This window comes from Homo sapiens, chromosome 12, assembly GCF_000001405.40.
Source record: "Homo sapiens chromosome 12, GRCh38.p14 Primary Assembly".
Classification (NCBI taxonomy): Eukaryota; Metazoa; Chordata; class Mammalia; order Primates; family Hominidae; genus Homo; species Homo sapiens.
Genome location: NC_000012.12, coordinates 17373991 through 17388214, shown reverse-complemented (window position 1 = coordinate 17388214; position 14224 = coordinate 17373991). Strand labels below are relative to the sequence as shown.

The following is a 14224-nucleotide window of genomic DNA, read 5'->3' as shown; positions in this document are numbered from 1 at the left end:
TAAGAAGACAAGAAAACATGAGTGAATACACTGGAAATAATAAAAATAGAATTAGCCTTACAAGAACACCAGACTATAAATCAACTATGTTTACTGTGTTCAACAAAACAAAATTCAAGCTTGAGAATGTTAGCAGGACATGGGAAAGTATAAAATTGACATAGTTAATTTAGGAAAAGGAAAAATACTACACCTAAAAAACATATAAAAGCTAAAATTAACAATCAATTGTAGCATTAAATAAAGGTTAGGCAAAGTAAAGAGAGAATTAAAATGTTTGCAAATAAGTGAAAAGACAAAATGGAAACTCCAAGGTGAAAGAATATGTGACAGATAATAGAAGATACAGTATATTTAGACAAAATTTCAAAAGAATAGGAAAAAGAGAAAAGTGTAGAAACAGTAGCTAAAGAGATGTTATAGATAATTATCCAAAACTAATAAAAGACACCAATCCACTGTTTTGAGAACACTGTATTAACCTTTTAAAATTTATACCTGAATAGCAAAATTAAAAAAAGAAACAGAAAAAAAATATAAATGCATCCAGAAAAAAAAGATAACATTGAAATGGTAAAGGACTGATACCTGATTTCTTAACAGCAACGACGGAGCCATTAGACCCTGTCAAGATATGTATAAGATACTGAATAAAGGAACAGCCAATTTAAAATATTATGTTGATGCACACGTATGTTTATTGCAGCACTATTCACAACAGCAAAGACTTGGAACCAACCCAAATGTCCAACAATGATAGACTAGATTAAGAAAATGTGGCACATATACACCATGGAATACTATGCAGCCATAAAAAAGGATGAGTTCATGTCCTTTGTAGGGACATGGATGAAGCTGGAAACCATCATTCTCAGCAAACTGTTGCAAGGACAAAAAACCAAACACCGCATGTTCTCACTCATAGGTGGGAATTGAACAATGAGAACACATGGACACAGGAAGGGGACATCACACACCGGGGCCTGTTGTGGGGTGGGGGGAGGGGGGAGGGATAGCATTAGGAGATTTACCTAATGTTAAATGATGAGGTAATGGGTGCAGCACACCAACATGGCACTTGTATACATATGTAACTAACCTGCACGTTGTGCACGTGTACCCTAAAACTTAATAAATAAAAAAAAATTTAAGTATAATAAATAGAAAAAAGAAAAAAAAGAAATAAAATATGATGTTGAGCAAAACGTATTCTTAAAAAATAAAAGGGAATGGGGGTGTTTTTCATACAAATAACTATATTTACTGTCAGTGGGGCAATAAAACAATATATAATATAAAATATTTAAATATATTTGCACGTATATAGAGAACATATAATACATAAATATATTTTGTGTTATGTATATATGTGTAAAACTTTTATGTTTTTATTAAGAAAAGATGGGGATTATGATTGGGACCTTGAATAAAGATGAGGGCCTCCTTTGTTAGGAAGTGTTAATACTGGGACCAGCAATTGTGTAATGATAAAATTTATCATGAGTCAGCTACCCAAGTGGGAATCTTGGGAAAATGATTTTCTTGATAAATGGTTAAAAAAAAGAATAGACAAAACAACAAATATGTTAGCAACAAAAATATCAAAGATGTTAGCAACAAAAAAAAATTGGTATGTATGGAAAACTGAACCAAATTAAAAGGGAAATGTATATCTTTTCAAGAAAAAATAAGAGTGTTCACCAAATAGAGCATTTGCTGGGTTATATCATATAGAACAAAATTTAAAGGACTGAAATTATATAGATAATGTTCATTGGCCACATTAAATTTACACTAATGATTAATAAGTAAAAGACAAATGGAAATATCTTAAATATTTGGAAATTAAGAATATAAGCTAAATAATTCATGGACTAAAATAAGTGAAAATGCAACTAAAATATTTTGAACTAAATTTAGTAACAATGTGGTATATAAAAATAGCTTGTGAAATACAATTGAAGATATGCTTATAAAGAAACCTATAGCCTTCAATATATTAGAAAATGTTTTAATAACTTTAAAATTAAATTTGTAAGCATCTTTTAAGAGTCAGAAATAGAATTGCATTCTAAGCAAAAGGAAATAAGATGGATGGAAATAATAAACAGAAGTCACTATATTAACAAATATGAAAAATCTAATAAAGAAAATTAATAAAGAGTTGTATATTTAAAGACTATTAAACCTGACACATTCCTCTCAAGATTGATCAAAACTGAAAGAAAAGAGAGATACAAGAAAAGAATGAGGAATATATACAATCTCAGATGGAAAAGGAAGTATTAATATATATCTTATAGATATTAAATAGATAATTTAAAATTTTAGATACCATATCCAAATTTCTGGGCAAAAACATTTAAAGAAGACATCTGAATGGTTATAGAACAAAATATAAAGAAAATGAATGAATAACGTATAATCTTCTGTTGATGCAAACTGTAGACCTACTTGATTTACCAGTGAATTCTTCCAAACTTTTGTGAAGAACTCATAGCAAAGTAACATAAACTCTTATACAAAACATAAAAAGAAGAAACACTTTCAAACTAATTTTATGAGTCCAGGATAATCTTGATACCAAAACCTGACAAAGACATTAAGAAAAAGAAAATGGTCAGGGGAATCTCTCTGATGACTACAATACTAGCATAATAACCTAATGACATACTTTAAAAAGCTAATATATTGCGACAAAGTTAAATTTATTCCAGGAATGCAAGGTTGGCTTAACAGTTTAAAAATAGAATAATTTGCCATATTAGTGAGAAGTATTTATAGCAAAGTAAGTATAATGTAAAACCTCATTAATCTGATCAATTATTTCTACAAAAATTCTATAACAAATATTTTACTGTTTTCCAATTATCAGTTTTATGTATGCCAATTAACACTTTGAATATTTTACTGATGGTCTTACTTTATAGGCCAATAATAAATGACCAGTTTTTCCATTAGATAAGTAGATAGGTAAATGATACAAGAAATTGAAGAAGAAAACAAAAATAAAACTGTATTATAGGGAGGAACATACTCAAAGATACATATTTATTTTAAAGTGAGGGAACAATTCAAAATTAGCACAAAAATGTGAACTATTCAACAGTCTTTATATAGTTTCACTTCATCATTTGTAAATGAGTGATGTTAGGGTCTCATATTACAGAAGAAAATATATTCCATAAGGATTAGATATTTAGCAGTTTAAAAAAGCTATTGTAACTGTGATGAAGAAAATGTAATTAAATATTATTTTGAGAAGATTATTCAGGTAAAGTGATGGTGATTTCTGCCTTACTTATGATTATTAAAAGATAAAACAGTCTAAATACCCCAAAGGAGTGAATATAATATTTTTATACAATACTTTTTGAGATGCAAAATACATTTTTGAAATTTTTTAAATGCCAAATGAAGATATTATAAATGAAATGCAGAAATGTATGTGTATGTATCATACAGGTGTATATAGCTTTAAGGGTATCTATCAGTATGCTTTTAGTGATTATCATCGACTGTTCTATTTTAATTATTTCCTTTAAAAATGTCTGGTGCCAAGGCAAGATGGGTCAAAGTCAGAGTGGTGGTCATGGTCCTGGAGGTCAAGAAGGATGATAAGGACAAGAAAAAGAAATACGAACCTCCTGTACCGACTAGAGTGGGGCAAAAGAAGAAAACAGAGACCAGATGCTGCCAGCAAACTGCCACTGGTGACAACTCACACTCAGTGCTGGTTAAAATGATTCAAGTTAGAAAGAATTAAAGACTATCTTCTCATGGAGAAAGAATTCATTATAAATCAGCAACAAATAAAACCATTAGAAGAAAAGCAATAGGAAGAAAGATCAAAAGTGGATGATCTGAGGGGGACCCTGATGTCAGAGGAATGTTGGAAGAGATCACCCATGACAACCATGCCATCGTGTCCATATCTGTGGGCTCAGAACACAACATCAGCATTCTTTCATTTGTAGACAAGGAGCTGCTGGAACCTGGCTTGGTCCTGCTCAACCACAAGGTGCATGCCATGATAGGGGCGCTGGTGGATGACACGGATCCCCTGGTCACAGTGATGAAGGTGGAAAAGGCCCCCCCAGGAGACCTATGCCAATACTGGAGGATTGGAAACCAAATTCAGGAAATTAAGGAATCTGGAATCTGTGGAGCTTCCTCTCACCTATTCTGAATACTATGAAGAAATGGGTATGAAGCCTCCTCAAGGGGGTCGTTCTCTATGGTCCACTGGGCACAGGTAAAACCTTGTTAGTCAAAGCAGCAGCAAACCAAACCCCAGCCACTTTCTTGAGAGTGGTTGGCTCTGAACTTATTCAGAAGTACCTAGGTGATGGGCTCAAACCCATGCTGGAATTGTTTCGAGTTGCTGAAGAACATGCACCATTCATCATGTTTATTGATGAAATTGATGCCATTGGTTCAAAAAGATATAACTCAAATTCTGGTGGTGAGAGAGAAATTCAGTGAACAATGTTGAAACTGTTGAACCAGTTGGATGGATTTGATTCTAGGGGAGATGTGAAAGCTATCATGGCCACAAACCAAATAGAAACTTTGGATCCAGCATTTATCAGACCAGGCTGCATTGACAGGAAGATCGAGGTCCTCCTGCCTGATGAAAAGAATGAGAAGCACATCATTCAGATTCACACTAGCAGGATGAGGGTGGCCGATGATGTAACCCTGCATGACTTGATCATGGCTAAAGATGACCTCTCTGGTGATGACATCAAAGCAATCTGTACAAAAGCTGGTCTGAAGTCCTTAAGAGAACTTAGAATAAAAGTAACAAATGAAGACTTCAAAAAATCGAAAGAAAATGTTCTTTATAAGAAACAGGAAGGGGATCTATTTCTAGTGAACCACAGCTGCCATCAGGAAAATAGTTGGGAGATTTCCCGTCCCCTGAGAGGGATGAGTTTGAGGGAGTTTCCCAGGGGAATCCCTGTTCCCATTGATTTTTCTTAGCAAAACATCCTGTGTGTCTTTTGGAGTATGATGTGTAATTGCCCATTGGGCAGCCTTTGTCCGTTTGTCACTGTGCAGCACTCTGCTTCCCAATAAAGCGTGCTCCTTCACACACACAGTCTGTATTTTCTAGCTATTCTTTAATGAATTTGTAGTACTTTTCTGTACAATGAAAGCATAATTTAAGTAACGTTTTTATGTATTTTTAAAATCCATCTATTTAAAAAGATTTGCAACAAAACACCACTGCCTCTAATATACTTCCTCACCACAGCCTACTCCCAGGACACAATACACTTCAATCTTTAGTCTTTACTATTTGTATTGATTTATGAATATATAAGTAACACAACTATATACATAATTTTTAATTCTGGATTCTTTGAAATATCACCATTATACAATGGTAACATTTTTGAAATGAATACAGAATCTAGCAACGCTCTCTATGTGAGCATGTACATAGTTCACTTCTTTAAATCTCAGTTTGAAAAATGTCATTATTATGTACAATAAATATTTGAGATTTACATAATTAAGACTATTATTATTCAGACATAAAATATCTGTCAAATATATACCTTGTATACTTAGTTTTTCCTGAAGATAAAAATATACTTCAAATTTTTCTGTGTCATTCCTACATACCTCTTATTAAATGTTTTCAAACGTGCTGACAAATTACAGAATCTTAATATTCCCCAGTATATCAGGTAATCTATCACTTTCCTTTTATTTTTTTCATTCTCTTCCTTCTTGACCCTCATCCTACCTTATTACCTTATGCTTCTCTTACACCTGGAGTATTAAATCATTCTGTTTCAATCTAGCCTCATTGCTTTCCAAGCTAGCAGGAATTCCAAGAGAGTCACTCATAGCCTTTTTAAAAAAGGTATTATGTCTGAAACTACTTTTATGTTAACCTCATATTTTGATAGCTTGTTTATAGAAATTTATATTGAAATTTCTTACTGTCAATGTTCCTTTGTTATCTAGCTTACGAGTTTAAGTTGAGAAAGCTGACATTGTCTTGGTCTGTTTTGTGCTTTTATAATGGAATACTACAGACTGGGTAATTTAGAAAGAACAGAAATTACTTTCTCATAGTTCAGAAGGCTGGGGAGTCTAAGATCAAGGTGCCAGTATCTGAAGTCTGGTAAGATCCAAGTCTCCGCTTCCACGATGGTACCTTGAACAATGCATCCTCTAGAATGGGAAACACTTTCTTCTTCACATGACAGAAGAGCAGAAGAGTGAGAACCTACTCCCCTAGGCCCTTTCTATAGCATCATTAATCCATTCACAAGGGCAGAGCCCCCACGACTTAAACACCTCCCATTAGGCCTCACTTCCCAATACTATTGCATTAGGGATTGAGTTTCCAACACATACATTTTGAAGGACACATACATTTTGAAGGACACATTCAGACCATAGCAGCTATAATTCAGATTCTTACCCCTTAAACCCTCTTATGCATGGCCTGCTTTTTCTTTGTAAGAGGAGCGTGAAGTTTCATCATTCTCTATATTTGATTCCTCTGTTTTCAGTACAGTGCCTCACTCTTGTCATTCATTGCCCCTGGTGTCAAGTATCCTATAATAAATTTATCCAGAAAAACAAATGTCTCTTCTCTTGTTTGAGTACACAGTAAGTAATCACCTGGCTTCCTAGGATAAGGAGGGAAAAATACGATTGTAATGGACATGTTTTTAATCCTGTTCCTCATACCTACTGAGGGAAACATTGTGGATTGACCACGTAATCTCATCATACCCTCCTTCTGTTAGGGTTCTCTACATGACTTAGACACAGTGGAATTCCATAGTCTGTTCTCTAGATTCCTAAGTATGAAGCAGCAGTTGTGGCATGATTACAAAATGCAATATGGGTACCTTCTTGATTTCATAACTCCACAGCCACTTCAGAAATAACCTCTTTAGAGTTTCTGGTCTGTATGGCTCTTTTCATCTTTCAGGAGGGCCAGTCCAGAAGCTAATCTACCAGCTCTTTCAATAGTGTAAAAAAACTAATTTCCTGTATTAAATCCTTTTTTGCTTAAAATGCCTCATTCTGTAAATGGAACCCTACTTGATCCCCTTACTCATTTATGTTCCAGAGAATCTGGTGTTTTCAACTCTTAAACTCTTTTAGAGATCAATGGTTTAAATCTGCATGGCTCCTGTTGGTGCCTAACTCTTGTGTGTTCTTCGGTTTTACCTATTTTTGCTTTTTTTTTTTCTTTCCATCTTCTAAAAATTTGCTGGTATTAATTATCTCCTGACTTCTCCCCATTTTTTCTATTCTTTTGGTTTATAACCTTTTTTATTTGGTAAATACTTTCTGAGGGGAATAGGGGAGTTTGAGGAAAAATTAGAAATATACTTTTTTATCTAGTCTACAATTTTTAATGTTTATTTATAAATTGATTTGATAAGAAATCAAACAATTAATGGGAGAGGACCAAAACAAGAAAGTTTGCTTTACATATATGAATTGTATGCTGAGTTCTTGTGTTTCCTATGGCATTGCCTTATAGCAAAACTAAAAAACTCAATAGTCAAAGAGCAGGAAACATGAAAAAGAGTTCTTAACAGATATAGGAAGTGGTGACAAGTACAGTCTAAGTAGAAACAGTCCAACCTGGCACAGGAAGGGCTAAAATATGCAGTACTTCTAATATTTAATTTTAGTTATCTTGTTTTGCCATTTTTCTATGCCATATCTTTTCATGATAATTTAAGGAATGAAGAAAAAGCATAAGTTTATGAGTGGAATGAATTGAAGTAGAGATGAGTTGCCATATAAGAAATTAAAAAGAGAGCAAACATTTTGAGGCAATAAAAACAGGAGGGACATTTATGCTTACTCCTCTCCAGTTCATCATATATTAAGGAAACTAAGAAATATTGGGAAAGGAACTGGCTTGCCTAAGTAGTTGGAATGGTGATTTAAGCTATTTTGTTTGTATAATTTTAAAATTTCCAATGACCCTCACATTGTCAAAACTAGTATATTTTAATGAAGCGACAAATTTAATTCTGGCATAAATTTCTAATCTGGGAAAGAGACTTTGGAGACTATGCTACTGAGCAATCTTACATTTCGGAAAGATGTATATCTAAACCACCCAAGATTGTGGATCTCTATTCTTAACAATTAGATATGTGACAACCTCCTTCAAGAGTTATTTATCATTCTGACAGTCAAGAAGTCTATTTCAAGACTTTTTTTTCTGGTATGAGAAAATAGTGTTGTGTGGTAAAAAGAGTTGTGGGCCTTGTACTCAACAAAACTGGATTCAAATTTCATCTACTTAGTGCCCAAGGCCATTTGTAAAGTTTGCTGAACTTCCCTTAGTCTCACCACACATCAATAAATGGACAGCAATATCACCTACCTTGCATATATGTTGTAAGACGTAATGTATATTAAGGATATATTTCAGAGTGTGGTATACAGCAAGATTCAATCAATGGTTCTTTTTACTGTTATTTAAAATGTAATTAAAAGTGCCTAAGTTAAGTGGATCATTGGATATCAAAGGCTGTAATCCTAATATGTCCATAGCCAACAAAGTGAGTTAAGGAGTGAAAAGTATCTACAGAAGGGAATTCTGTATAGTGTGAAAGTACATTGAACTGAAACAGAAAAGACGTGAACTCCAGCCCCAGTTTTATGCAGTAAAGCCAATTTTGTGCACCTCTACAGACAAGTTAGCTCTCTGGGTAGCAGCTATCTAGCCAGAGTAACAAAGAAACACAACCAGACAAAAACAGACAGGAGATTTGGGTTACAAGATCATTAAGGTCCCTCCTTGTTCTAAGACATGAATTTTACTTATTTTTAAAGGCTGACATCATATCAAAGAAAGCAAGGCTTTCGAGATAGCAGTAGAAGGTTCTGGGACCTCTTTTCTTTTTTTTTTTTTTTTTTGAGACGGAGTCTCGCTCTGTCGCCCAGGCTGGAGTGCAGTGGCGGGATCTCGGCTCACTGCAAGCTCCGCCTCCCGGGTTCACGCCATTCTCCTGCCTCAGCCTCCCGAGTAGCTGGGACTACAGGCGCCCGCTACCACGCCCGGCTAATTTTTTGTATTTTTAGTAGAGACGGGGTTTCACCGTGTTAGCCAGGATGGTCTCGATCTCCTGACCTCGTGATCCGCCCGCCTCGGCCTCCCAAAGTGCTGGGATTACAGGCGTGAGCCACCGCGCCCGGCCGGGACCTCTTTCTTACAAGAACAGCAGTCAAGTATATTTTTAGAGGAGAAAAGATGACTCTAGGAACATAAATGCCTGAGTAAGTGTATTGAATTTTCTTTCACTTCACTTTCAAATAACAGTGGTCCCAGTTTAACAGTTGTATAGGTGTTTTTAAACAACTCATCTCTATCTCATTTTAATTAAACATGCACTCTCTCCAGTCCCCCACCTGTAAAAATGTAGTTTGCAATTTGACAGGATGATATTATAGTATTGAGCAATATGTGAATTGGTTTAAAAGTAACCAGAGTTGAAGCATGCATCAATCACCACAAGTGCAAACTCAGGTCACTAAAGCTGTCAATTTCAATCAGCTCTGTAATTAAATACATCACCAATATGGATTTTGTGTAAGAATGTCACTTGTTCTTCAGCTGTCTGCTATGAGGACAAATCACACTTCAGTGTCTCTGCACAGGCATTCCAAATATAATATTTTTAAAAGCAGAACATCTTCATCTATCTTTCTATAATTCGTTAAATAAAAATGCATTTACTAATGTGTAGTCCAAAAGCTATGTTTTTAAATATATATATAAACTGCTTTCCATTTAATTAAAATGTTGCAATATCTTAGTTGGCATTTTAAACTTATCTTTAACACCTTTAGTGGCATTTGTTATGAAATAAATAGATAATGAATAATAATCACCTTTTAAAAGGCTGAACAATTTGTAATTATGGAAAATTTGTAATTAGAGAGTCTTTATTATATGTTCAAAAAGCAGAAAATGCTTTTGGTTATGAAGAAATAAATTATTCATTTCTATTTCAGCATGAGAACAAAACTATTTCACATTTAGAAAAATCTTTTTTTAATAGCCATAAAGTGTCATCTCCTTCTATTACACTTAGCACTACATGGGAAAAGACTGCAACAGAGCCGTATTACCAAATATATGTTGTCTGCCATTTGAGTCTTTTTGGAATTTTTCTTTTCTGTTTTTCCTTGTGGTCAGCAGTAGCATGCAATAACTCAGGAGCAATTTTCAGTGAATTATTGTACCTATCAGTTTGATTTGGGGCAATCTTTACAAGCTAAGGCCTGCTTATATAACCCTCCAAGCTGACTTCAGACAGCCCTTAAACAGCACAAGAATACTCTCATTTAATTTGTTTTAGTACCTCAGATCTTCATGTTTAGCTTTATCTATTATTCTTAAAAAGTATGAGGACCAAGGAATCATTTTTTTCTGACAAAATACTAAATAAATGGGAGAAAATATAAAATTGAGTTTAAAAAGTAAAAAAAAGTGAAGCCAGTAAAAATTTGCACTGGTTCTTAGAGATAGTTGGCCTGTTGGTTCTGAGAAGGATTCTTTTACCTCTCTTCTGAAACTGAAATACAGCCACTTGCCCAGTGCTGTCTTCTGAGTTTTCTCCATGTTTTTAGTTAAACGCTTCTTACACAACCCCAACTGCTATTTTAATTAGTTTACCAATTTCCTTAAGTTTTCTGTTTCATATTTTTCAACATTGTATACAACAGTGTTCATCCCATCCTCTACTTCACAGACAAACAAACAAGTAAATAATAAAGTTCAACAGGAAGAAAAGTTGAGCCTAAACATTCAACAACCATGATCCCTTTTAGTTTTCATGGAAGAATTCACTATCTCATGTCTGAAAGTTTACATTTCTGCCTTAACCTCACTCCATCATATAAGTAGCTCACTTACACTATACCTTTGTTCCTTCGTCTTATCTGATTCTTTTTCTTTTTCATGTGAAGAATGTCTAGTTTCTTCCTTATTTAAACTTAAAATGACCTCTCAACCCTATGTTACTCTTACATTTAAAAATTCTCCCTCTGGAGGTTGCAGTGAGCCAAGATCGTGCCATTGCACTCCAGCCTGGGGACAAGAGCAAGACCTCATCTCAAAAAAAGAAAAAAAAAATTTCCCTCTTTCCTTAACAGATAAAATACAATTCCTAGCAGTGGACACATGTGTAATACACATCTTTATCTCTCAATCTTTCCTCTACTTTCTATAGAGTAACTTCTGCCACTATCCTTCTTTTGTCAGACAGTAATCAATTTCTGGTGGTTAAAGTCAATGGTAATTTTTAGGTAATATATTACCTAATAATATATTACTTCCTCTTTCATTTGGTATTATTGACTTTTTCTCTCCCTTCTGGGAAGTAACTCTTCTTCCCTTGTGGTAAGACATTTTCAGGTTACCTATCTGTTGAGTAGTGGTGACCCTAGGCTTTGGTCTTATTCTCTTACTCATGGGTACCTGGATCACTCCAAATTCTATATATTTACCTTACTTTTGAGGTACCATCAAGTTCATTTTGGATGTTCTATTTTATTTCCATACTCTTTCCCTAATTGGCTCCTACCCAATTTAATATTTTCTAGTCTTTAAGAAAGGTCACTAAATTGACTGTGAGAGGACTGTGAGAGTCAAACTTGATTTTTTATTTTTCTTATCTCCCACAATTAGTTATACACATCCTATAGTTCTATATTTTTAGCATTTTCTAAGGTGGCTTCTGCTTCTCAAGATCCGTGTGTGATGCCTTCATTCATTTTTCGTAATTCCTGCATCATTATTCTAGCCCTCTCTTAATGTTTCCCTTACTCTCCTACTTATTCATTTATAGCCATTTTTCACACTACTGTGACAGTGATCTTTATTTATATTTGTAAATGTCAAATTTAAGTAAGGCTTTCTTTTACAAATAATCTTTCATTGATTTTTGTCTACCTCTGATAAAATGATTATCCCTCTTTTTCTCTAAACTTGGTTTTTTCTATTAATCCTCAAACATTCTAAATTCTATCAGTATTATTTATGTTACTCAAATATTACCATACTTTATGTTGTTTCCTGATGTTTATCATTTAGCTCAGTCTTTAAGAAGAAGCTTGAGATTGACTTAGAATACTCCCTTCCCCCATTCATCTCTTTCTGTCATCTCCATCTGTTTCTTTCTTTTTTTGCCTCAGTTCATCCAGATGCCAAACCAAACTCAAGAGTGTTGAAATAAGTTTTTACTTCATGTATTGTCTGTACATCAACACCACCTTTTCAATTTTCAGATAATTCTGTATTTTCTAATTAATTTCTTTAACTTTCCATTAGAGACTGCTAGCTCCTTGAAAGTTGGGGTCTTTAATCTTGGCTGTTCACTGCAAGCACAACTTCTGGCACAAAATAAGCATTTATTAAATGACTGGTGGAATAAATAAATAAATGACTTTAGCTGCTGAACCCCTAAATAATCAATAACACACAGGAAAAATATCTGTTGTCATTTAAAGAAAGACATGTGTCTTTATAGAATATCAGAGTAGTCCTACAATTCTTAATTCTCAAATGGAACTAGAAAGAATATGAGAGTTTCTAAATGATAAAACCATTAATTTAAAGTTATAAGGGGGTGTTTTCTACGGAATAATTTAGAATTGAATTATGTCAATTACTCTGAGAAATAAACTGTCACTTCTACATTGCTCCTTATTCTTTGGGAGCAATTAAATGTTCTGGTTAATGGTGAGGTTCTGGTGTCAGACAGTCTGAGGTTCAAATCTCATCCCTGCAGCTTACTAGCTGTGTGATTTGGACAACATATTTAATCTCTCTGGACTTCAATTTTATATCTGCAATCTGGAAACATGCTGTTCGCCTTTAAAGATTAAATGAGATAATATAGATTCAGTATTTAGGATAATTCCTGGTATAAAATTAGAACTCAATATACGGTGGGAATGGGTTTCACCTCTCAGTTGCAAGTGTACAATGTGCCTCACTTATATCTGCTAAGATAACACTTCTCTGAGCTCCTGTTTACCCAGCTAACAAAAACTTTCATTTCAGATGTTTTCTAGGGAGACTTAGCACACCATAAGTTAGTGCAAGATCTTTGAGGGTCATGGACTTTCTAGAATATTCAAGGTAGAGGTCTCCAGCTGTCATTTCACAGAGGACACTGCTGATGCTCTTGTTTTCCAATTTCTGTGAACATTTAAGAGGTTGATTCTGCTTCTTTAGTGTCAAGCTTGGGTGGGAGGCTTTCACTGAGGCTGGACATTATGAATGAATGTACAGCTTCCATAAGAGCAACATGCACACATTCCCAACAGAGTGCAAGAAAAAGTAAGTCATGGAGTGTGACACTCAAGAAACCATCAGCCATAGTCCCTTCCCTCTAGTTCAAGATTATCTTCCATATACTCACCCAATATCACCTAAGACTAAACAGGAAAATAATCTTTTACATGAAACATGGGACCTTGAGAAGTTAACCCAGCAGATACAAATTATGCTTTCCTCTCTTTCCTTAGTAGGGAAGATGTGTGCAAATAAAATTCAATGCCAACATTAAAGAAACTAGGTTTTGTTTTGTTTTTGCTTTTAAGGTTCTATGTTCCCATGGCAGTTACAGGCTGGCTGGCTATATATTAAAATGATTAAAATTATTTCTTACAAAATTATTTTTTCTTAATAATAGAGAAGTGGGCCAGGCGCGGTGGCTCACGCCTGTAATCCCAGCACTTCGGGAGGCTGAGGCGGGCAGATCACGAGGTCAGGAGATGGAGACCATCCTGGCTAACATGGTGAAAGCCCGTCTCCACTAAAAAATACAAAAAATTAGCCAGGCATTGTGGCCGGCGCCTGTAGTCCCAGCTACTCGGGAGGCTGAGGCAGGAGAATGGCGTGAACCCGGGCGCTGGAGGTTGCAGTGAGCACAGATCGCGTGCCACTCCAGCCTGGGTGACAGAGTGAGACTCCGTCTCAGAAAAATAAATAAGTAAATAAATTAATTAATTAATTAATTAATAAAAGACAAGTGATAGCATGTGTTCTTATTAATGTCAATGATAGTAAAACAAATAGTATTCAAACCTGCTTGAGAGTATACACAAATATTAAATAAAAACTGGAGGTCTAGTGTAAAAACAAATTTTATACCTAATATATTCAAGGTAGATATGCCATGATTATTTTACTTTTTAATTCATCCAT

At 34.5% G+C, this 14224-nt stretch overlaps 1 pseudogene, besides 1 other annotated feature; it reads left to right on the top strand.

Moving 5' to 3' along the window:
- PSMC1P8 (proteasome 26S subunit, ATPase 1 pseudogene 8) lies at nt 3570-5102 on the top strand (annotated as a pseudogene).
- Nucleotides 4476-5675: an enhancer, noted in NCBI's record as "CDK7 strongly-dependent group 2 enhancer chr12:17535474-17536673 (GRCh37/hg19 assembly coordinates)". NCBI's record gives its function as "activates an origin of replication core promoter dependent on BRD2, BRD4, P300/CBP, MED14 and CDK7 cofactors, with strong dependence on CDK7, by STARR-seq in HCT116 cells {active_cell/tissue: HCT116}" and the evidence as "EXISTENCE:reporter gene assay evidence [ECO:0000049][PMID:35650434]".